This window comes from Homo sapiens, chromosome 15 (genome assembly GCF_000001405.40).
Source record: "Homo sapiens chromosome 15, GRCh38.p14 Primary Assembly".
Classification (NCBI taxonomy): Eukaryota; Metazoa; Chordata; class Mammalia; order Primates; family Hominidae; genus Homo; species Homo sapiens.
In genome coordinates, this window is record NC_000015.10 from 20484835 (window position 1) to 20510397 (window position 25563).

General features: G+C 43.4%; 1 pseudogene across 1 annotated transcript in view, besides 1 other annotated feature; it reads right to left on the reverse strand.

Annotated features, from left to right (window-relative positions):
• The window catches only part of HERC2P3 (HERC2 pseudogene 3), a 97785-nt pseudogene extending 76439 nt beyond the window's left edge, over nucleotides 1–21346 (reverse strand). Inside the window, exons 1-2 of the transcript NR_036432.1 lie at nucleotides 21274–21346; nucleotides 20557–20659 (exon numbers count right to left, since the gene is read on the reverse strand). The product of NR_036432.1 is annotated as an HERC2 pseudogene 3 (transcript). The remainder of the gene's footprint in view (nucleotides 1–20556; nucleotides 20660–21273) is intronic.
• Nucleotides 17833–18507: an enhancer, noted in NCBI's record as "OCT4-NANOG hESC enhancer chr15:20707920-20708594 (GRCh37/hg19 assembly coordinates)". NCBI's record gives its function as "activates a minimal SCP1, AML or CMV promoter by ChIP-STARR-seq in naive and primed H9 embryonic stem cells {active_cell/tissue: H9 hESC(naive and primed)}" and the evidence as "EXISTENCE:reporter gene assay evidence [ECO:0000049][PMID:30033119]".
• Nucleotides 21347–25563: the final 4217 nt, after the last annotated feature.

A 25563-nucleotide genomic window follows, 5' to 3' on the forward strand; every position in this document is an offset into this window, starting at 1 on the left:
AAAAAAAAAAAAAAAAAAAAAAAAAAAAAAAAAAAAATTAAGGTTTTCAGTGGAAAGGAGGAAAAAAAATCAAAGAAATTTTGAAAAACAACTTAAATTGGAAATCTATGAACTTTATTTTTGAATATATTTGCTTACTCTGTTTTTTAAAGGACTAGAATCAAAGGCAATCTGACAGCGGCACCCAGATTTTGGTCTCTTAGAACCATTTCCCGATAAAAGACGCTAGGGCTCTTGGGAAAATAAGTAGATTCAAGGGCCAGGGCAGACAAAGATGAGCCTGTTTCCTCAAAGAAAAAGCTGTTTCCTCAAACATGGCCAGGTGCGGTGGCTCACGCCTATAATCCTAGCATTTTGGGAGGCTGAGGCGGGCAGATCACTTGAGGTCAGGAGTTCGAGACCAGCCTAGCCAACATGCCGAAACCCCATCTCTTCTAAAAATACAAAAATTAGCTGGGCATGGTGGCAGGCGCCCATAATCCCAGCTACTTGGGAGGCTGAGGCAGGAGAATAGCCTGAACCCAGGAGGCGGAGGTTACAGTGGGCCAAGACTGTGCCACTGCACTCCAGCCTGGGTGACAGAGCAAGACTTTATCTCAAAAAAAAAAAAAAAAAAAAAAAAAAAAGCAGCTGTTCAAAGACGATAGGGACTCCTGGCCAAATTTATAATAATTATAATAACTGTGAGCATCAAAATCAAAAACGCCTTTGCTTGTCAACATTTGTGAGTCAGAAAAGGCTTCCCAGAACAGGAAAAGGGAGCATTTCAGACACTGGGGGAAGGCATCCATTCTGAAAACTGCGTATGTGACAGAAGCTCCCTTGTCTGGCAAAACAAAAGCCATTTTTAATTAAAAGAGACAGATGTTTGCCCATCTTTTTTTTTTTTTAACTTCTGTGGATACACACTAGTTGTATGTATATATATATGGGTTATATATTCTATCTAACTCTTTTTTTTTTTGGAGACGGATCTCGTTCTGGCACTAAGCTGGAGTGCAGTTGTGCGATCTCAGCTCACTGCAACCTTTGCCTTCTGGGTTCAAGGGTTTCTCCTGCCTCAGCCTCCCGAGTAGCTGGGACTACAGGCTCACACCACCACACCCAGCTAATTTTTGTATTTTTGGTAGAGATGGGGTTTCACCGTGTTGGCCAGGATGGTCTGGGTCTCTTGACCTCATGATCCACCTGCCTTGGCCTCCCAAAGAGCTGGGATTACAGGCGTAAGCCACTGTGCCCAGCCCTATCTAACTCCATTTTTATACCCATTAACCATCCGCACTTCACCCCCACTTTATCCTTCCCAGTCTCTGATAACCATCATTCTACTCTATCTCCATGAGTTCAATTACTTTCATTTGCTTAGCACCTACAAATAAGTGAGAACATGCAAAGTTCGATTTTCTGGGTCTGGCTCATGACATTCTGTTCCTGACTTAACATAACGACCTCCAGTTCTATCCATGTTGTTGCAAACGGCAGTATCCCATTCTTTTTCATGGTTGAATAGTACTCCGTTGAGTATATATACCACATTTTCTTCATCCATTCATCTGCTGGGAACACTTAGGTTGCTTCCAAATCTTGGCTATTGAGAATAGTGCTGCAATAAACATGAGAGTGTACATATTTCTTCAACATACTGATATTCTTTCCTCTGGGTATATACCTACCAGTGGGATTGCTGAATCATATGATAGTCCTATTTTTAGTTTTTTGAGGAACCTCCAAGCTAATCTCCATAATGGCTGTGCTAATTTACATTCCCACCAACAGTGCACAAGGGTTCCCTTTTCTCTATATTCTTGCCAGCATTTGTTCTTGTCTTTTGGATATAAGCCATTTTAATTAGGGTGAGATAATATCTCATTATAGTTTTGATTTGCATGTCTCTGATGACCAACCATGTTGAGCACCTGTTCGTATTGCCTGTTTGTCATTTGTATATCTTCTTTTGAGAAATGTCTATTCAAATCTTTTGCCCATTCTTATTGGATTATTAGATTTTTTTCCTATAGAGTTGCTTAAGCTAATTATATATTCTGGTTATTAATCCTTTGTCAGATGGGTAGTTTGCAAATATTTTCTCCCATTCTGTGGGTTGTCTCTTCATTTTGTTGATTGTTTCCTTTGCTGTGCAGCTTTTTAACTCAATGTGATCCCACTTGTCCATTTTAGCTTTGGTTGCCTGTGTTTACGAACTATTACTCAAGAAATCATTACCCAGTGCAATGTCCTGGAGAGTCTCCCCAATGTTTTCTTTTAGCACTTTCATAGTCTGAAGTCTTAGGTTTAAGTCTTTACTCCATTTTGATGTGATTTTCGTATATGGTGAGAGATAGTGGTCTAGTTTCATTTTTCTGCATATGGGTGCCCCATTTTCCCAGCACCATTTATCAATGAGGCTATCCTTTCCCTCATGTATCCTCCGGGCACCTCTGTCAAAGGTGAGTTCACTGTAGATGTATAGATCTGTTTCTGGGTTCTCTATTCTGTTCCATTGGTCTAGGTGTCTGTTTTTATACCAGTACCATGCTGTTTTGGTATACCTTTCTAGTAAACTTTGCACTTGATCTAAGCCAAAAAAGACCAGGAAGTGACTGTAGTATAATTTTAAGTCAGGTAATGCAATTTCTCCAGTTTTGTTTTTTGCTCAGGATGGCTTTGGCTATTCTGTCTCTTGTGATTCCATACAAATTTCAGGATTTTTTTTTCTATTTCTGTGAAGAATGTCATTGGTATTTTGATAAGGATTACATTGAACCTGTAGATTGCTTTGGGTAGTACAGACATTTTAACAGTATTGATTCTTCCAATCCATGAACACAGAGTATCTTTTCCTTTTCTGTGTGTCTTCTTCAATTTTCTGCATCAATGTTTTACAGTTTTCGTGGTAGAGATCTTTTCACTTCTTGGGTTAGGTTTATTCCTACGTATTTTACTTTATTTGTAGCTATTATAAATGGAATTATTTTTCTTGATTTATTTTTCATATTGTTCACTGTTGACATATAGAAATGCTACTGATTTGGCTGGGCAAAGTGGCTCATACCTGTAATCCCAGCACTTTGGGAGGCCGAGGCAGGCGGATCACCTGAGGTCAGGAGTTCGAGACCAGCCTGGCCAATGTGGTGAAACCCTGTCTCTACTAAAAATACAAAAATTAGCCAGGCCTGGTGGCAGGCGCCTGTAATCCCAGCTACTCAGGCGGCTAACACAGGCGGATCGCTTGAACCCAGGAGGCAGAGGTTGCAGTGAGCCGAGATTGTGCCATTGCTTTCCAGCCTGGGCCACAGAGTGAGACTCCATCTCAAAAAAAAAAAAAAAAAAAAAAAAAAAAAAAAAAAAAAGAGAGAGAGAGAGAAATGCTACTGATTTTTGTATGTTAATTTAGTATCCTGCAATTTTACTGAATTTATCAGTTCTAATCATTTTTTGGTGGAGTTTTTAGGTTTTTCCAAATATAACAATCATCTGCAAACAAGAGTAACTTGGCATCTTCATTTCCAATTTGGATGCCCTTTATTTCTTCTTCTTTTTTTTTTTTTCTGAGATGGAGTCTTGCTCCATAGCCCAGGCTGGAATATAGCGGCACAATCTCAGCTCACTGCAATCTCCACCTCTGGGGTTCAAGTGATTTCCCTGCCTCAGCCTCCCGAGTAGCTGGGACAACAGACACCCGCCACCACGCCTAGCTAATTTTTATATTTTTAGTAGAGATAGGGTATCACCATGTTGGCCAGGCTTCAAACTCCTGACCTCAAGTGATCCACTCACCTCAGCCTCCCAAAGTGCTGGGATTACAGGTGTGAGCCACTGCACCCGGCCTTTCTCTCTCTTATCTGACTCCTCTAGCAAGGGCTTCCATTATTATATTGAATAACAGTGGTGACAGTGGGCATCCGTGTCTTGTTCCAGATCTTAGAGGAAAGGCTTTCAGTTTTTCACCTTTCAGTATGATACTAGCTGTGTGTCAGTTGTATATGGCTTTTATTGCGTTGAGGTGTGTTCCTTCTATAACCAGTTTTTTGGGGTTTTTATCATGAAAGGATGTTGAATTTTATCAAATGCCTGTTCAGCATGAATTTAAATGATCATATGGTTTTTTATCCTTCATTCTATTGATATGATGTATCAAACTGATTGATTTGGATATGGTGAACCATCCTGGCATCCCTGGGATAAACCCCACTTTGGTCATGATGAACGACGTTTCTAATGTGTTGTTGAATTCGGTTTGCTGATATTTTGTTGGGTATTTCTGCATCAATGTTCATCTGGGATACTGGCCTGTTTTGTTTTTTTGATTATGTCTTTGTCTGGTTTTGGTATCAGGGTAATATTGGCCTTCTACAATAAGTTTGGAAGTATTCCCTCCTCCTCTATTTTTCAGAATAGTTTCACTAGGATTGGTAATAGTTCTTCTTTAAATGTTTGGTAAAATTCAGCAGTGAAGTCACTGGGTCCTGGGGTTTTTCTTTGCTGGAAGACTTTTTATTATTACAGTTTCAATCTCATTACCTGTTATTGGTATGTTCAGGTTCTGGATTTCTTCATGGTTCAAACTTGGAAGGCTGTATGTGCCTGTGAAATTATCCATTTCTTTTTCCTTCTTTTTTTGAAGACACAGTCTCACTCTTTCACCCAGGGTGGAGTGCAGTAACATGATCTCAGCACACTGCAACCTCCCCCTCCCAGGGCTCAAGTGACTCTCGTGCCTCAGCCTTCCAAGTGGCTGGAATTACAGGCACGCAAAACCACACCTGGTTAATTTTTGTATTTTTAGTAGAGATGGAGTTTCACCATGTTGGCCAGACTGCTCTCAAACTCCTGACCTCAAGCGATCCACCCGCCTCAGCCTCCCAAGGTGCTGGGATTACAGGTATGAGCCACCACGCCCAGCCTGCAAACTTATCTATTTCTTCCATGTTTCCCAATTTATTGACATATAGCTGTTCATAGTCTCTAATGACCCTTTGAATTTCTGCAATATCAGTTGTAATGCCTACTTTTTCACCTCTGATTTGGGTCTTCTTTTTCTCTTAGCCTGCCTGAAAGCTTGTCAATTTATCTTTTAGAAAAACCAACTTTTCATTTCATTGATCTTTTGTATTATTTTCTTCATTTCAACTCCATTTTATTTCTGCTCTAATTTTTATTATTTCTGTCCTTAAAATTATGGGTTTGGTTAGCTCCTTCATTTCTAGTTCTTTAAGATGTATCATTAGGTTATTTATTTGAAGTTTTTCTACTTTTTTGATTTTCCTCTTAGTATTGCTTTCACTATATCCCACAGGTTTCGTATGCTGTGCTGCCATTGCCATTTGCTTCAAGAAATTGTTTAATTTCATTCTTAATTTCTTCACTGACCTGTTGGTCATTCAGGAGCATATTGTTTAATTCCCATGTGTTGGTGGAGTTTCCAAAATTCCTCGTTATTGATTTTTAGTTATAGTCCATTGTGATCAGAGAAGATACTTAACATAATTTTTTTAACTTTAATATGGCAAAAGAGGAATCTAGCTTCATTCTTCTGCATATGAATATCAAGTTTTCCCAACACCATTTATTGAAGAGATTGTCTTTTCCCCAGTGTTTGTTCTTGGTACCTTTGTCGAAAATGAGTTCACCGTAGATGTGCGGATTTGTTTCTGGATTCTCTATTCTGTTCCGTTGGTCTGTGTCTGTTTTATGCTAGTACTATGCTGTTTTGGTTACTATAGCTCTGTAGTATAATTTGAAGTCAGGTAATCTGATTCCTCCAGTTTGTTTCTTTTTAATTACGAGAGCTTCGGCTATTCTGGGTCTTTTGTGGTTCAACATGAATTTTAGGATTTTTTTTTTTTCTGTTTCTGTGAAGAATGTCATTGGTATTTTGCTAGGGATTGCACTCAATCGGTAGATTGCTTTGGGTAGTATGGACATTTTAACAATATTGATTCTTCCGATCCATGAAGATGAAATATTTTTCCATCTTTTGTGTCCTCTTTAATGTCTTTCATCAGGGTTTTAGAGTTTTCATTACAGAGATCTTTGTAATTATCTTCTTTGGTTACTTCCCAGGTACTTAATTTCATGTGTGGCTACTATAAATGGGATTAGTTTTCTAATTTTTTTCATATTGTTTACTGTTGGCACACAGAAATGCTACTGATTTTTGTATGTTGATTTCGTATACTGCAACTGTACTGAATTTATCAGCTCTAATCATTTTCTTGTGGAGTCTTTAGGTTTTTCCACATATAAGATCATATCATCTGCAAACAAGGATAATTTGACTTCTTCCTTTCCAATGTGGAGGCCTTTTATTTCTTTCTCTTGTCTGATTGCTCTAGCAAGAACTTCCAGTACTATGTTGAATAACGGTGGCCACACTGAGCATCCTTGTCATGTTCCAGATCTTAGAGGAAAGACTTTCAGTTTTTCACCATTCAGTATGATACTAGCTGTGGGTCTGTCATATACGGCTTTTATTATGTTGAGGTATGTTTCTTCCATAATCAGTTTTAAGAGATTTTATCATGAAAGGATGTTGAATTTTATCAAATGCCTTTTCAGCATCGACTGAAATAATCACATGGTTTTTATCCTTGACATGATGTGTCACATCGATTGATTTGCATATGTTGAACCATCCTTGTACCCCAGGGATAAACCCCACTTCATCACAATGAACGATCTTTCTAACGTATTGCTGAATTTGGTTTGCTAGTATTTTGTTGAGGATATTTGCATCAATATTCATCAGAGACATTGGCCTGTAGTATTCTTTCTTTGACGTGTCTTTGTCTGCTTTTAGTATCAAGGTTTCAATTTTTAATGACTTATTTTGTGGCCTAACATATGGTCTAACCTTGAGGACGATCCATGTGCTAAAGAGAACAATGTAAATTCTGCAGCCATCAGATGAAATGTTCTAGAAATATCTATTAAATCCATTTGGTCTACAGTGCAGATTAAGTTTGATGTTTCTTCGTTAATTTTGTCTGGATGATCTGATCTGTCCAATGCTGAAGTGGAGTGTTGAAGCCTCCATCTATTAATGTATTAACGCCTCTCTCTCTCTTTAGCTGTAATATTTGTTTTATGTATCTGGGTGCTCTAGTGTTGAGTGCATATATACATATATTTATAATAGTTATAGCCTCTTGCTGAATTGGCCCCTTTATCATTACATAATGACTTTTTTGGTCTCCTTTTATAGTTTTGGTCTTGAAATCTATTTGGTCTGATATAACCGCTATGCTCTTTTGTGATTTCCATTTGCCTCTCCCTTTTTCCATCCCTCTGCACCGTCCTGAAGAGATGGTCTCCAATCTGAAGAAGCAAGCAGCCAATGAACTGCCCGTGGGGAGGGGCAGCCTCCAAGAGCCCAGGGTTTCAGTCCCACAACCACAATGGATTCAATTCTACCAATGAGGACCTGAGCTCCAGATGACAGCGTGCCCTAGCCAACACCTTGACTACAGCCTGTGACACCTGAAGTAGAGGATAGAACTAAGCTATGGCCAGACTCCTGACCCACAGAAACTGTGAGAGTGTAAATGCTTGTTGTTACAAGCTGCCAAATTTGTGTTTGGTAACTTGTTCTGTAGCGACAGAAACCAAGCCAGCATCCTTCAGTTTTTGTAGAAGGAACAGCTTTCTCTCAGCACTGTTATTTTTTCTGTTCACATCACTAACAGGATAACTGCCATAAACATACTTGGAACCAAAACATATGACTTTTGGTAAAAATATCAGCTGGTGGGGGAGAGGTAAACTCCTTCCTAAAAAGTGAGCCCTGGCCAGGTAGAGTGACTCACATCTCTAATCCCAGCACCTTGGAAGACTGAGGCAAGAGAATCACTTGTGCCCAGGAGTTCAAAACCAATCTAAGCAACATAGCAAGACCCTGTCTCTACAAAAAAATTGTAAAATTAGCCAGAAAGCTGGGCATGGTGGCTCACACCTGTAATCCCAGCACTTGGGAGGCCACGGCAGGTGAATTGTTTGAGCTCAGGAGTACAAGACCAGCCTGAACAACATGGCAAAACCGCATTTCTACCAAAAATACAAAAAATTAGCCAGAGGTGGTGGCGCGCCTGTACTCCCAGCTACTTGGGAGGCTGAGGTGGGAGAACTGCTTGAGACCAGGAGGTAGAGGCTGCAGTGAGTTGAGATCACTCCACTGTACTCCAGCCTGGGCAATAGAGCAAGACCCTGTCAAAAAAAATTTTTAATTTAAATTTAAAAAATTAAAATAATATAAAAAATAAAATTAAAAAGTGAGCCAAAAACATTCAGGGCCCCTGAAGTTTAACGAGTGAATGGAAAGCTTTGACTCTTCTAGTCTTCAGTCAGAGGAGAGCAGTGAATACGTGCACTGGGGTTCAGTCCAAACCCTACCACAATGCACATGATAAGAGGCTAACAGTGGTCAGAACTCACAGCTCCATGTGGGCCGTGCTCCAGGAGTTTCAGACTATCTTTAGGCACTCAAGGGAATATGACATTTGACCCATGTCTTAAAGTGTTTCAGAAAACAGAAACAGAGAAGGTGAACTAAGAAGCTATTACTGGCCAGGCACGGTGGCTGACGCCTGTAATCCCAGCACTTTGGGAGGCCGAAGCGGGTGGATCATGAAGTCAGGAGATAAAGACCATCCTGGCTAACACAGCGAAAACCCATCTCTACTAAAAATACAAAAAATTAGCCAGATGTGGTGGCACGCACCTATAGTCCCAGCTACTCGGGAGGCTGAAGCAAGGGAATTGCTTGAACCTGGGAGGCGGACGTTGCAGTGAGTGGAGATCGCACCACTGCACTCCAGCCTGGGTGACAGAGTGGGACTGCATCTCAAAAAAAAAAAAAAAAAAAAAGGCTATTACCAAGGGTCCAAAAAAGAAAGGATGACAGCAGAAGTCAACACAGGGAAGTACAGTCTTTAAGATTATTTCAGGCAGGGCACGGTGGCTCACATTTGTAATCCCAGCAGTCTGGGAGGCCGAGGTGGGCAGACTGCTTGAGCCCAGGAGTTCGAGACCAGCCAGAGCAACATGGTGAAACCCGGTCTCTACAAAAAATACAAAAATTAACCAGGCGTGGTGGTACGCACCTGTAGTCCCACTACTCAGGGGGCTGAGGTGGGAGGATCATCTGAGCCCGGGGAGGTTAAGGCTGCAGTGAGCCGTGACGGTGCCACTGCATTCCAGCCTGGGCAACAGAGTGAGACCCTGACTTAAAAAACAAAAAAAGAAACTATTTCAAATCACGTAAGTTAAATCAAATGTGAAAGGGAAAATAAGGGAGGGAACAGAAGAGGAATGAGAATTAGTTCCGTTTTAACCACTAAGATTTGCACTAACTACTGAACATAAACATGGAGCTCCTCCCCACTCCACCAACCCTCAGTAAATATAGATCCAGATCTTAGCAGAGTGTTCAGGGCTAGAGACTCAAATCTGGGAGTAGTCAACAAATGGACTGTAGGTGATGTCCTGGAGAAGATGCCAACACCCAAGCAGAGAGGGGAGACCCCTGCCCAGCCCTGAAAGCACTCTAAGATCGCCCCAGACTGGCTGGGCTCCACACATCAGTGTTCTGCGGTACAGCCTAGATTGAGAAACATTAGTGTTACAGAGGTACCATTTAAAAAAAAAAAGCCAAAAGATGGAACATTTAAAGACTAAGCCAAGGAGGAAGCCCAGTTTACATGGAAACAAGAATAATTACCACCACCTTTCGATTATTACCTGGGTAGCACTGGGAAGGAAGAGGATAGGCCAGACCTTGTCCTTCTGAGTAACAAGGAATTCTTTTTTGGAAGGTAGACACTGGACTCCTGGAAGGACATGCACTGTGGAAGCCTCCTAGGAACTGATGACCCAAATAAATGGTAAGCACCATTCAAAAAACTATTTGGGCACCTTAAAGGTGGAACATTACTAAAGCAATAAAGCAAGCCTCACTGGAGGAGGTCTCCAGAGAGTTAGACTGTGAACAAGCAAAAGTGAAGCCCAGGAGAAGAGCTCTCCAGATCACAGACAGTACAGGATCCTGACTGAGGAAGCAGCAGCCTGGGAACAACTGGAAGACAGCCGTGGCACTGAGAAGAATGGAGACTACAGGCAGGGCATGGTGGCCCACGCCGTAATCCCAGAGCTTTGGGAGGCCAAGACAGAAGAACTGCTTGAGGCCAAGAGTTCAAGATCAGCCTGGGCAACATGGTAAGACCGTGTCTCTACAGAAATGTAAAAATTACCCAAGTGCATGGCACGTGCCTGTAATCCCAGCTACTCAGGAGGCTACAGCAGGACGGTCACCTGCACCCAGGAGTTTGAGGTTACAGTAAGCTCTGATCACACCACAGCATTCCAACCTGGGTGACAGAGGCCCTATTCATTTAAAAAAAAAAAAAAAAGAAAGAAAAAGAAAAAAATGAATGGGACTTTCCATTTGTAAAGTGAGAGTATTTATTTCTACAACTGTCTCCAATTAGCTTTTTATTAGTAGCTGACTTACCTAAACGTGCCCAGTAGCTTTTCAACTTTTGACTTTTTTGGTTCAGATCCCAGAAGCTTCTAATTAGGTTATTTGGGCTAAGAACTCTTTTCCAATCTTTTCCAATCTCACATTCCTATCTTACACCTCTGAAATGACATGGCAAGTAAAGGCACTTTCATCATCAAAAGACCCCAGCAAAAGAGGCAGTAACAGGCTCACTTTTTGTAAGTTACTAAACTGAAGCTCAGAAGGCCAATGACTTGACCAAAGGCCACACAACACTGAGGCTGTGAGAGGCGGGATTTGGGAAGAGGCCCAACTCCAAGGCTTATTCGCTTCCCACCAACACCATAACATGCACCCACACCTGCAGCACGGCAGCCAGGGCAAGCCTTCACGCTCCCATACATAGGCCACCAATATTTTAATACCAATCAGGACTAGGCAAGCAAACAGTTAAGGCTTTTTTTTTTTTTTTTTTTTTTTTTTTTTTGAGACAGAGTCTTGCTCTGTCGCCCAGGCTGGAGTGCAGTGGCGCCATCTTGGCTCCCCGGGTTCATGCCATTCTCCTGCCTCAGCCTCCCGAGTAGCTGGGACTACAGGCGCACGCCACCACACCCGGCTAATTTTTTGTGTATTTTTAGTAGAGACAGGGTTTCACCGTGTTAGCCTGGATGGTCTCGATCTCCTGACCTTGTGATCCACCCGCCTCGGCCTGGGATTACAGGCGGGAGCCACCGCACCCAGCCCGTTAAGGCATTTATTAAAGTGACTTCAGAACTATAGAGTCAGGCAATAAAATCCAAAACTGAATAATATAACAAATGAATATCTGATTAATGTATAGGTTAGAAAATGTTTCTTTTTCATGTCCTTACAATTTGACAGAAAAGTAATCTTCAAATATTTGCAGATGAGTAAAGGTATACGGCTTTTTTTCTTAAACCTACAGAAAAATACTAAACACCTACTGAACGTAGGACAACATATGAAAAAATGTTAAGAACAGGTTCCTAGAACAATTAGAAAGGTCAGACAGGAACATTAAGTACGTCGATTTGAAGACATCCTAGAAGCAGCAAGGGAGTGAGGTCTTCCTAAAGTCTAAGACCCACGAGAGGAGGAAAGAGGCCCAGAGAACCTAAGCACGCAGGGATGAGACTGAGAAGCAAAACGGAGCTTCTGAGAGACTCCCAGGGCCCTCATACAGGAGAAAGAGGCCTGGCAGATCCCATGCTCTGAGCTGGAACCTCAAAGGGCCACACACCAGAAATACAGGTGAGTTAGAAGTAGACCAGCCTTCACGGAAAACCAGCCCAGTTTCGCATTCTCTCAATTTCCAAAGGGACTGCAGTGACCTGAGATTGCCTAGAACATCCTCTCTGGAGGAAGATATTGTTACCTAGAGCCTCGATTTATTGCTACAATATTGCATATACAATATCTGAAAGTCAAGCAAATATAATAATGACAAAGATACAAGACCACATCATTGAAAAATGAAAAAAAAATAGAAGTCATTAGAACAGACCGAGTAGATCCTGAAAACAGAAACATAAAGACTTCTGTCATGAAAGAAGAGCCTGAGGAATGAACTGAAGTGTTGACACTCTGCTCAGCAGATGTCAGCTCGGGGCAATGGGGTGAGGGAAGTGGGAAAGCGAGACAAGGAGATCAATGAAGTAACGATATGCAGTATATGACTTCACAGTCAGCTAAGTGTGATTTTAGCCTACTCTGCCTATGTAGGAGCCATTCTTATTTCCTTTAATTTCCTAAAAAAAGAAAAATATATATTAAAAAAGAGTGATTTTATATTTTTCAATGGTTGCCACATAATCAAAAGAATCATATGTCAGCCAAGCACGGTGGCTCACACCTGTCATCTCAGACTTTGGGAGGCCAAGGCAGGCGGATCACGAGGTAAGGAGTTCACGACCAGCCTGGCCAACATGATGAAACCCCATCTCTACTAAAAATACAAAAAAAAAAATTAGTGAGGCATGATGGTACACGCCTGTAATCCCAGCTACTCCAGAGTCTGAGGCAGAACAATTGCTTAAACCCAGGAGGTGGAGGTTGCAGTGAGCCAAGATCGCGCCACTGCACTCCAGCCTGGGCAACAGAGCAAGACTCCCTCTCAGAAAAAAAAAAAAAAAAAAAAAATCATATGTCAACAAATGAAAATTATATGACATTCAAATTCTGGTATCCACAAAGTTTTCCTGGAATATAGCCATACACATGTTTGGCAGCTTCTCGCAGGACAATGGCCAAGGTGAGCTGTTCTAAAAGAGCACGTACGGCCCACATAAACATTTACTATCTGGTGCTTTACAGAAAAAATGTGCTGACCCCTATGTTAGTGCCACCTCTTCTCAATGAGCTGCAAATACAACCAACTGTTCAGCCAGCACATTCACTAGGCATATGTGGCTTTTCCAGAAGGTTTGCAAGAAGAAACTACACCATAAAATAGTCCAAAGAGGAAAGAAAAAAGGGAGGAATAAAAACACTGAGTTCCCTCATCTCTCCTTGTAAAGTGGTGAACGTTCATACCACAAGGAATTCACACCCACACACACTCGCCACACCTTCCAGGCTGTGTCACTGGCTCCTTGGTAGGCAGTCAGGAAGCCATATTCCAACTCTCTTGCGTGACATCACAGCGGAGACTGGAGCTGAAGGGCGGCTCACAGGCATGAGTCAGCCAAGAGGGACAGAGAGAGGCGGCTAAGGAATCTATGGGGTCGGACAAGGTTTATAAACACACTTTTAAAATAACTACCTTTAATAGAGTCAAGCAATTAAAAGATCCTATTAACAGCCGGGCACGGTTCATGCTTGTAATCCCAGCACTTTGGGAGGCCAAGGCAGGCGGATCACGAGGTCACGAGTTCAAGACCAGCCTGGCCAATCTGGTGAAACCCCGTCTCTATTAAAAATACAAAAATTAGCCAGGTGTGGTGGCGGGCACCTGCAGTCCCAGCTACTTGGGAGGCTGAGGCAGGAGAATCACTTGAACCCAGGAGATGCAGGTTGCAGTGAGCCGAGATTGTGCCACTGCACTACAGCCTGAGCGACAGAGCGAGACTCCTTGTCAAAAAAAAAAAAAAAAAAAAAAGATCACATTAACAATTTCAACACAGAAGTTGAAACTAGAAAAAAGTACCTAAAGTGGCAGTTAAAGAAACTGTCAAACATTTCAAACTAAACATTTTAAAGGGATGTGTTTAATATAATTATACCTCAATAAAGTTGATATGTTTAAAAAATGGAAATTCTGGAATAGAAAAATATAATAGTAAAATTTAAAACTCAATGGATTTGATTAAAAACAGATTGGGAAGGCCTGTGCTTCCTCCACCTATAAAGGATGAATTCTGTAGAAATCACTTCCTTGCTATAATCAACTAGAAAACCAGACAGAATATACCGAAAAGCTGTTACCAAAAACTGGACAACAGACAGCCCAGAGCTGGGATCCCTGAGAGAAGGGAAACACTGCCCAGAAGCAGCTTCCAGGCTGCAGCACAGGAAAGGGGAACCCAAATAGAGCCCAAAGAACTTGCTGAGCTCAGGAGACAGATCAGCTATACGTAGGCCAAATGACAAGAATACAGCAAGCTCCAGAGATGAGTGGAGGGGCCCCTTGAGTATCTGTCTGAGTACTACTCTGAGCATAGGTTAAGAAAACTATGGAATACTGGGGAAAGCAGCACTAGAAAGTAATAAGGAGCATTGCCATGATGCACAGTCTGGGAAAAGCCTGTGTTTCCACAAACAAGGACAGAAAGATCTTCTCATACACCAAGCATCAGGTGGAGTCCTGAGAACAGTATTGCCTTCGTTGTATGGATAAATGAGCCCAAGAGTAAAGCCTGTGTGGATCAGCCTAACAAACCTCAGAATCAAGCTTTGAAAAGATCAAACTGACCCCATGTAACTTACATGTATGGCAGAAGAAAACTAAGGCTCTTTAAAAAAATAAAATCCTGCACAGAAGATAAAATTAATGCCTAGCATTCAATCAAAAATTAGCAGGCATACAACCATGCCCCCATAACTAGGGCAATCAATCAATAGAAATGACAGAATCAATCAACAGAGATGGATCTAGAAGTGATCAGAGATTACAGAATTCACAGACAAGGACATTAAAAGCTCTCTTACAGAAATGCTCCCTATACTAATAGAAGGAAAGCATGAATGTTATAAGGAGTGAAACAGAAGATATAAAAAGGACTCAAATGGAATCTCTAGAAATGAAAATACAAAATGGATGGATGAGATTAACAGAACTGCATAACAGTTACAACCATAATCTACAATGTCTAAGCACATGGCTATGCCATGCTCTCTCCCTTAACACTCATGCAGTCTAGGTTTAAAAAATAACTGTTTCATGCCCATCATCAGTTGCAGGTTGATCTACAGTCATCCAGTTGTCTAAAGATCTTTCTCCACTCCATTCCTAAGGAAGGGCTCATGAGAACAATACTTCCTAAGTTACAGCTCACTGAGAAGTTTGTGTGTTTTTCATCTGAAAAGTCGGTTTTGCTGGAACAAAAAATGCTTTACTCACATTTTCTTTTCTTGAGTGCCTTAAACAGGATACTCAATTTCTTCTTCATAAAGAATTGTCATCTGCTGGGCTCAGTGGCTCACTGCTGTAATCCCACCACTCTGGGAGGCCAAGGCAGGTGGACTGCCTGAGCTCAGGAGTTCAAGACCAGCCTGGGCAACATGGTGAAACCCCATCTCTACTAAAAATATAAAAAATTATCTGGGTGTGGTGGTGCACACTTGGAATTCCAGCCACTTAGGAGGCTGAGGCACGAGAATGGCTTGAACCTGGGAGGTGGAGGTTGCAGTGAGCTGAGATAGTGCCACTGTACTCCAACCTGGGCAACAGAGTGAGACTCTGTCTCAAAAAAAAAAAAAAAAAAAAGGAATTGTCATCAAAGTCCTACGGCTAAACCCTTTTCCTTTTTTTTATAACAAGTATTGCTAGTCTTTTCCAAGAACCAAAGTTAAAAGTTAGTTCTTTAAAACACCAGGCCAGGCACAGTGGCTCACACATCTAATCACAGCACTTTGGGAGGCCAAGGCAGGAGGATCACTTGAATGCAGAAGTTCTAGACCAGCCTGGACAACAAAGCAAGACCCTGCCTCTACAAAAAACTTTTTTTTTTGCTGCAAAATGCTCTTAATTAACCTGACAAAATGCCACATACAGGGTTACTGCATCTTTTTTATCATGGAATTTTGAAAACAAAAATTGTTCTCTTGAGGCAGCAGTATTTGGATATTAGAGGTAAAAACCACCCTTAGAATCCAGTCCTAAAAACATCAATGAATATTCCTATATTTACAAATTCTTCTATTTCTACATGTCATCTATCAACAGGATTATGAACCTGAAAGCCTGAGAATAGAATTTATCAAGATACTCATGTTTGTACTTTTTTTATCTACTGCCCTTTTTTATTTTTTTTGAGACAGATTCTCGCTCTCTCACCAGGCTGTAGTGCAGTGGCGCGATCTCAGCTCACTACAACCTCCGCCACCTGGGTTCAAGCGATTCTCCTGCCTCAGCCTCCTAAGTAGCTGGGACTACAGGCACGTGCCACCACACCCAGCTAATTTTTGTATTTTTAGTAGAGATGGGGTTTCACCATGTTGGCCAGGATGACCTCGATCTCCTGACCTCAGCCTCCCAAACTGTTAGGATTACAGGCTAAGCCACCACACCCGGCCATCTACTGATATTTCTAAGCATGAAGTGACATTTTTTTTTTTTTGAGAAGGAGTCTTGCTGTGTTGGCCAGGCTGGAGTGCAATGGCATGATCTCGGCTCACTGCAACCTCCACCTTCTGGGTTCAAGCAGTTCTCCTGCCTCAACCTCCCAAGTAGCTGGGATTACAAGCGCACACCACCACACCTGGCTCATTTGTATTTTTAGTAGAGACAGGGTTTCACCATGGGGGCCAGGTTGGTTTTGAACTCCTGACCTCAAGTGATCCGCCCTCCTCGGCCTCCCAAAGTGCTGTGATTACAGGCGTGAGCCACCGCGCCCAGCCGAAGTGACAATATTTATATACAATAAGTTTAACTGTAAAAGCTTACATTTATGCGTGGTCATTTTTAATTGATGATTAGATGAAGAGACAAATAAATGGTCCCAGTTTAGCTACTGATATACTCAACAAACCTTGACGGACCTGAGGGCATTATGCTGAGTAAAGAAAATCATTTCCGAAGGTCACATATCACTTGGTAATCTCACAGTAACAAAATTATAGAGATGGAGAACAGATCAGTGGTTGGCAGGAGTTAGAGATGGTGGCAGAAGAGAGGCAGGAGAGAGATCTTTCTGGTGATGAAACAGTTCTGCATAGGAAATTGTAGTAGTAGTTATATTTACAGACACTTGATAGAATGGCACAGAACTACGCACACACATTGTACCAACTTCAATTTCTGGGTTTTTATACTCTATTATGGTTACATAAAATGTAACCACTGGGGCAGTATGCGCAAATATACAATGACCTCTCTAGTTTCTTTACAACTTCCTGAGAGTCTATTATTATTTCAAAATAAAAAGTTTTTTTAAAAATTGCTTCATGCATATCTAGTTTCATGTGCCACTTAAAAAAGAACCCAAAAATAGAAACTGTAGGAAATTCATCTGAGTGCAGCTTATGCAAGAAGGGGCAGGATAACTCCATTCTGGACCTATGCTCAAAGACATGCACCTTTACCTTACAACAAAACTGGCGAACAGGCATGTGTTTTAAGAATAAAAAGCTTTTAAGGTCTCATATATTGGTTTTTATGATTCCTTTGCTTAACTGACTTTTTGGTTTGCTAAAAAACTACCAATCACATCAGATTAGAAGTACTTTCACGGTAAAAATAAAAAGTGATGTGACTGACACCTCTTACCTCTGTAATGTATTACTCTTCACGAGAGCAGTGAAGGAAAACATGGTGATTCAATCACTCCACACATCAAGCAGAAAAGAGTGTTGAACAGGCCGGGCGCGGTGGCTCACGCCTGTAATCCCAGCACTTTGGGAGGCCGAGGCGGGTGGATCACTTGAGGTCAGGAGTTCAAAACCAGCCTGGCCCACATGGTGGAACCCTGTCTCTACTAAAAGTACACAAAATTAGCCAGGCGTGGTGGTGGACACCTGTAGTCCCAGCTACTCGGGAGGCTGAGGCAGGAGAATGGCATGAACCCAGGAGGCTTGCAGTGAGCCAAGATGGCACCACTGCACTCCAGCCTGGGAGACAGAGTGAGACTCCGTCTCAAAAAAAAAAAAAAAAAGTGTTGAACAATTAAACTGTTTATATGTAATAACCAGATATATATGCCTGGCATAAAATGAGCCCTGCATTAGAGGTTGCTGGATGTAGGGTCCTAGGCCTGACGTATCCAAATAATGTCTATGATAAAGAAGTCAATAAGTGCTCTCTATAACACACAAGCATTATAAGTTTTCACACTCCAAAAACTCTTCCTTTCTAAAGTTACTAAAACTTTTAAGGGCATTTCAAACAAAAACAGCTGTGGAAAACAGATCGGTTAAATCCTATGGCTAAGAAACATCTTCCTATCCCATGTATTATTCATTACCCAGGTGTCAATTCTGTTTCCAATACAAAAGTCTCAAGCAGTGAAGCGCTTCCCACTCCAGCTGGGAGAGCCATCCTCAACAAGATAAGGGTAAAACCTGTGAGCACAAGGCTTCCATCTGCAATTCCTGTCTGCAGGGAAGCTCCCCAAAGAGGGAAACCATGTCTTATTCCTTACGGTAAAACACCACCATTCATTCCTTGTGTTTAACAACCAATGCTGGTGGAACATAAAACAAAACTTAGCAATCACTTTTTTCATGCTACTTAGACCTGTAACACATTTTTCCTCTGGTGCACACTATCCAAAACCTAGTCATTTCCCTTACTCCTAGGAGGAATTTAGATGACTTTTTTTTTTGGCCAGGTGCAGTGGCTCACGCCTGTAATCCCAGCAATTTGGGAGGCCGAGGCAGGCAGATCGCTTTGAGGTCAGGAGACCAGCCAGGCCAACACAGTGAAACCCCATCTCTACTAAAAATACAAAAATTAGTCGGGCATGCATGGTGGCACACACTTGTAATCCCAGCTACTCGGAAGGCTGAGGTAGGAGAATCACTTGCATTCGGGAGGCGGAAGTTGCAGTGAGCCAAGATTGCGCCACTGCACGCCAGCCTGGGCGACAGAGCAAGACTGCGTCTCAAAAAAAAAAAAAAAAAAAAAAAAGACTTTCTAATCATATTGGAAATGTGTAACAAGGACCAAGTACTGTGTATTAAACTTAATAAATCAAAACAACAGGCCCTCTAAGATATAAATGGTGCTTCACTGTATGTTTATCTGCCCAACCCATCATAGGAACTCAATTCAGCATTAAACTGGTTTTAGATCAAGACACTAGAACTCATGTTTAGCAGTTATTAAATTACAATTATTAAGAAAAAAACTTCATTACGTAAAGTCCTTTACTCCAAAAAGTTTCTCAAAATACATAAACACTAATATAAAAACAACTATTAAAACTTTGCCTGAATCTCAGGATTTCAGAAATATGAAAGTACTCATCTCTCACGTCTCCCATCCACTTAAAATGACAAAACAGATCATTATAGCTAAATCAAAGGAAATGTTTAAAGAGAAACAAACCCAAAGAGTAACTACACCAATTCTTGACCCAATTCTCTGTACTCTGTCTTATGTAACATTACACTATGAATAACAATCCCATCATCCACAACAGCTTTTTTTTTTTTTTTTTGAAAAAAAAGCTCTCATTGTCCAGGCTGGAGTGCAACGGCACAATCTTGACCCACTGCAACCTCCACCTCCCGGGTTCAAGCGATTCTCCTGCCTCAGCCTCCCGAGTGGCTGGGATTACAGGCATACACCACCACGCCTGGCTCATTTTGTATTTTTAGTAGAGACGGGGTTTCACCATGTTGGTCAGGCTGGTCTCCAACTCCTGACCTCAGGGCATCCACCCGCCTCGGCCTCCCAAACTGCCGGGATTACAGGCGTGAGCCACTGCGCCCAGCCACACAACACAGCTCTAAACACTGGACTCTCATATCTACCAACACTCAATACCTGTTTAAAAAGAAAAAAAAAATTAGGAAGGGGCAATAACACTTCAGTGTAAGTATCCATGATCAACTACTGCTTAACAGCCTACACGACTTTTGATGAACAGTCAAGGCACATTACTTAATACTTAAAATGGTTAACCTTAGGGAGTAGGAAAATACAGACACACACAAAATATTTCAAACACTTCTTTTTGCTGCTGATAAGGAGTTCCAAAAGTAGTTTTTCCAAGCCATTTCCAAATAAAAGTAGATTGGGTGTAAAGAACTGTCTATCGAAATATTACCGTTATTATTTATTTAATAATGTCCTGACAAGCTTGCAATTATCTCATTAAATCAAAAAATTAGGATCTAAGGCCAACATTGTTTCCTCATATTCTTGATGTGAAAATCTGAGCACTCCTCTTAATAAGGAGTTACAAAGACAAAACAAACAGCTCAACTGAACTAACTCTTGTCTCTCCAGAAACACAAACACAAGACCTCATAAAATGAGTGAGTTTCTATAGGCCATAATTACTGCAACTTACTTCTCCAATTTTCCCCTCCACAGTTAACTCAACAGCTCAAAAACGATCAGTAACAAACAACAGTCACCATGATATGGTTAGGAGTGTGGCAGATTTCTTAACCAGTAATAATAAATAGGAAAAAAATTTTCTCTATTAATAGATCTCAAGTTTCGTGCACTTGCAAGAAACTAATTAAAAGGCAGCCGCGCACGATCTACAAAAACAGCCATAAGACTGTTACATTTTAAGTTACAGGAAATAAACCTGCTCCTCTAATTCAGCAAGATACAACTGACTTCCCCTTACATACCCTAAAAAAAAGCCTTACACGGGAAATTTAAACATGGAAGCAGAAACACACCAAGAAAAAGACATGTCAAACCCCACCTGTATATCTGTTTTCAACCATTTGGAGTCGAGGCGAGCCTGGGCAGCCAAACACAAAGATTCAGAGGGCATCTTTTCTCCAGCTTCCTCCCAGGTCTCAGGCCTGCAAGTAAACACATACGCTGAAGACCTAATGCTTTTTAATAGTTTACAAAGACACTCCCGAAAGGTTCAATGCAGAAAAGAAAAAAGAGAGAGAGAACAGAAAGGGGGGAGAGAAGAGCTGGTGGAGGGGAGAGAAGGGGAGAGAGGGAAAGAGGGAAGAGATGGAGAGAGAGGGAGGTGGGGAAGGGAAAGCCTCCTTCCAAGGTAGGCAGGGTGTGCCGAGTTTCTGCACCACGCTGACGAGACCTTGAGAATGGACGGTCACAGGAAGCCAAGTTACAATGTCATCCCCCTGCCCTCAAATCCAAGAAGTACACACACATAACAGGGAGCCCATCGTTTTAACGACAAATGACAGCAGCATGAATCTGCCGCTTTACCCCACAGCAGGGCGCGTGCGTGAAACAAATTACTCAAAAGGATCGCCTGCAGAAAAACCCACAGCCACCACCACTTAAGAGATGGAGAGAGGCCCGAGGCTGCCCCGCGGGTGGTCCGCGCAGGCCCCGGTGCGGCCGCCGCGCCCACGCCCGCCTCCCGGGCTCGGCCGCCCGCCAGCCCCGCGCCCGTACCGCCCCCGCCACCGGCCGCCCAGGTGCCCCAGGCCAGGACCTGACGCGCAGGGCCCGGCCGCCCCGCCCCGCCGGCGCGCGGACGCAGCCTCCCAAGAGCCGCTGGCTCAGCCGGCGCCCGCGATCCCGGCGCCTCTCGCGGCCCGAGGGGCGGGCCGACGCGGGACTGCCGCCCCCCGCGTACGGCCAATCGCAACGAGGCTGCTCCGTGGGCGCAGCCAATGGGGAAGAGGAGCCCTTCGCCGCTCCTCCCGACTCTCCCGCTTCCAGCAATCCCGCTTATCTTCCTACTTGGAGCGCCCTGGCTGCGGCCAAGGCCAACAGCGGGCGCCGGAAGGCGGGATTTCCGCCGCACGCACGCACTCCCGCACTCCCACGGGAGACTGCTTGGCCCGGAGCGCCGCGGCGGGTGGTGGCGCTCACACTAACTATAGCTATCCAGGGCGCGGGTCGAGTGGCGAGACCAGCTCCCCTGGGTATGAGAACGCATCTTTGTGCGGTCGGCTGGCTGGGGCCTGAAGAGCTTCCTCCTGTGTGTTCAACTGAACGCAGCAAAAGTCTTGGGCAGATTCCATGGAGCAGCTGTGGAAGCACTGTGCAGGGAATCGAAGAAGGAAACACCTCCAGCGACCACAAAACAAAATTGAAGAACTATAAAACAATATAGGCCGGGCGTGGTGGCTCACGTATGTAATTCTCAGCGCTTTGGGAGGCCGAAGCGGGAGGATCCCTCGAAGCCAGGAGTTGGAGGATCCCATGTTGCCAGACTGGGCAACATAGCAAGACCCCATCTCTAAAAAATAAAAATAAAAAAATTTAACAATTAGTCAGGTGTGGTGGCACACACCTGTGATCCCAGCTGCTCGGGAGGCTGAGACAGGAGAATCGCCTGAGCCTGGGAGATCAATGCTACAGTGAGCTTAGATCGTGCCACTGCACTCCAGCCTGGGCGACAGAGTGAGATCCTGCCTCTAAGAAAGAAAAATAACGGCCGGGCGTGGTGGCTCAGGCCTGTAATCCCAGCACTTTGGGAGGCCAGAGCAGGTGGATCATTTGAGGTCAGGAGTTCAAAACCAGCCTGGCCAACATGATGAGACCCCTTCTCTACTGAAAATACAAAGATTAGCCAGGTGTGGTGGCACGTGACTGTAATCCCAGCTACTCGGGAGGCCGAGGCAGGAGAATCGCTTGAACCCGGGAGGCGGAGGTTGCAGTGAGCCGACATTGCACCACTGCACTCCAGCCTGGGGGACAGAGGCTGCACCACTGCAGCCTTGACTTACCGGGTTCAGGTGGTTCTCCACCTCAGCCTTGCCACTAGCTGGGACTGCAGGCACATGGAACCACACCTGGCTAATTTTTGTAGTTTTTGTAGACGGGATTTTGCCATGTTGCCCAGGCTGGTCTCGAACTCCTGGGCTCAAGTGATCCGCCCGCCTCAGTCTCCCAAAGTGCTAGGATTACAGGTGTGAGTCACTGCACTCGGCTAATAGTAATGAACTTTGAACAGAAGGAAAGTTGTTATTATTTTCTTGGTTATGTTCTATCTATATTTTCTAATTTTTCTAAACATGTAAAGATAAAATTCTAAAAACTCAGACCTCAGAACAAAAAAATTAGAGTATAAATATTTATTTTAGTTAACTTGTACAAATTTGGTTTCTGGAAAAAGAATGGAATAGATTTTCTGAGAAAAAAAATCCACCACTTTGGCCGGGCGCAGTGGTTTACGCGTGTAATGCCTGCACTTTGGGAGGCTGAGGCGGTGGATCACCTGAGGTGAGGAGTTCAAGACCAGCCTGACCGACATGAAGAAACCCCTGTCTCTACTAAAAATACAAAAATTAGTCAGGCCTGGTGGCACGCACCTGTAATCCCAGCTACTCAGGAGGCTGAGGCTGGAGAATCGCTTGAACCCAGGAGGCAGAGGTTGCAGTGAGCTGAGATCGCACCATAGCGCTCCAGCCTGGGTGACAAAAGGAAAACTCTGTCTCAAAAAGAAAGAAAGAAAAGCAGACTGGCTGAAAGGATTGAAGAACAAAATATGATCCACCAATGTGCTATCTACAAGATAAACATTTTAAATACAGAAACAGATTGAAAGTAAAGGGATACAAAGATACAATTAAAATAGTAACCAAAAAAGAGCTGAAGGGGCTGTACTAATATCAAATGTAATACACTTTAAATTAAAGCAGGGCTGGGCATGGTAGCTCAGGCCTGCAATCCCAGCACTTTGGGAGGTGGAGGCAGAGAGACACTTGAGCCCAGAAGTTCGAGATCAGCCTGAGCAACATGGCATAATCCCATCTCTACAAAAAATACAAAAATTAGGCGGGCATGGTGGTACCCACCTGTGGTCCCAGCTATTTGGGAGGCTGAGGTGGGAGGATCATGTGAGCTGGGGAAGTTGAGGCCGCAGTGAGCTAAGATCGGGCCCCTGCACTCCACCCTGGGCAACAGAGCGAGACCCTGTCTGAAAATAAAAAAAAATAAAAAACGGGGTTGAGAGACAAAAAAGGACATCCTTTTTTTTATTATTGTATTTTGAAATGGAGTTTCGCTCGTTGCCCAGGCTGGAGTGCAATCATGTGATCTTGGCTCACTGCAACCTCCGCCTCCCGGGTTCAAGTGATTGTCGTGCCTCAGGCTCCCGAGTAGCTGGCATTACATGTGCCTGCCATCACGCCCAGCTAATTTTTGTATTTTGATACAGACGGGGTTTCACCATGTTGGCCAGGGTGGTCTCCAACTACTGACCTCAGGTGATCCACCTGCCTTGGCCTCCCAAAATGCTGGGACTACAGACATGAGCCACCGCGCCAGCCGAAACCTTCATTTTAAAAAAGGCTGGGTCAGGCATCATGCCTCATGCCTGTAATCCCAGCACTTTGAGAGGGCAACGCAGGCGGATCACCTGACGTCAGGAGTTCGAGACCAGACTGACCAACATGGTGAAACCCCGTCTCTACCAAAAATATAAAAATTAGCCGGGTGTGGTGGCACACACCTGTAATCCCAGCTACTCAGGAGGCTGAGGCAGGAGAATTGCTTGAATCTGGGAGGTGGAGGATGCAGTGAGCCGAGATTGTGCTACCACACTGCAGCCAGGGTGACAGAGTGAGACGCCATCTCAAAAAATAAATAAAGGCTGGGTGCCAGATGTGGTGCATAGGCCTAGTTTGTTGACTCCTGTACTTAACATATAAAACTCTAAAGAACAGTGGGAAGGAGCTTCCCTCTAGAGGCACAGGAGCGGCCAAGTTGGTCCCTGAGCAGTGACTTTATAATAACATGTTACACTGTGTTTTTTGTTTTTGTTTTGTTTTTTGTTTGTTTGAGACGGAGTTTCGCTCTTGTTGCCCAGGCTGGAGTACAATGGCGTGATCTCAGCTCAAAACAACCTCTACCTCCCAGATTCAAGCGATTCTCCTGCCTCAGCCTCCAAAGTAGCTGGGATTTCAGTCATGCAACACCATGCCCGGCTAATTTTGTACTTTTAGTAGGGATGGGGTTTCTCCATGTTGGTCAGGCTGGTCTCGAACTCCTGACCTCAAGGGATCTGCCCGCCTCGGCCTCCCAAAGTGCTGGGATTACAGGCGTGAGCCACCACACCCAGCCTTTATTTTTTTTCTTTTTTTTTAGACACAGTCTGACTCCGTTGCCCAGGCTGGAGTGCAGTAGCACAATCTTGGTTCACTGTAACTTCTGCCTCCCAGGTTCAAGCGATTCTCCTGCCTCAGCCTCCCAAGTAGCTGGGATTACAGGCATGCACCACCACATCTGACTAATTTTTGTATTTTTAGTAGAGATGGGGTTTCACCATGTTGGCCAGGCTGGTCTCAAACTCCTCACCTCAAGTAATCCGTCCGCCTCGGCCTCCCAAAGTGCTGGGATTACAAGGCGTGACCCACCGGGCCTGGCCCTGTGTGTTGTTTTATGTATGTTTCTATATGTGTTATATTTCACAATAAACTAAATATTAAAACAAAGAATAACTGATAGCTATGCACAAAGGTATTTAAATTTCACCCTCACAAATAATTTTTTTTTTTTGAGACAGGATCTCACTCTGTTACCCAGGCTGGAGTGCAGTGGCACCACCTTGGTTCACTGCAGACTTGACCTCCCAGGCCCAAGCGATCCTTCTACCTCAGCCTCCTGAGTAGCTGGGACTACAGGCACACTCCACCACACCCACCTAATTTTTGTATTTTTGGTAAAGATGGGGTTTCACCATGTTGGCCAGGCTGGTCTCGAACTTCTGGGATCAAGGAATCCTCCAACCTTGGCTTTCCAAAGTGCTGGTATTACAGGCGTGAGCCACTGT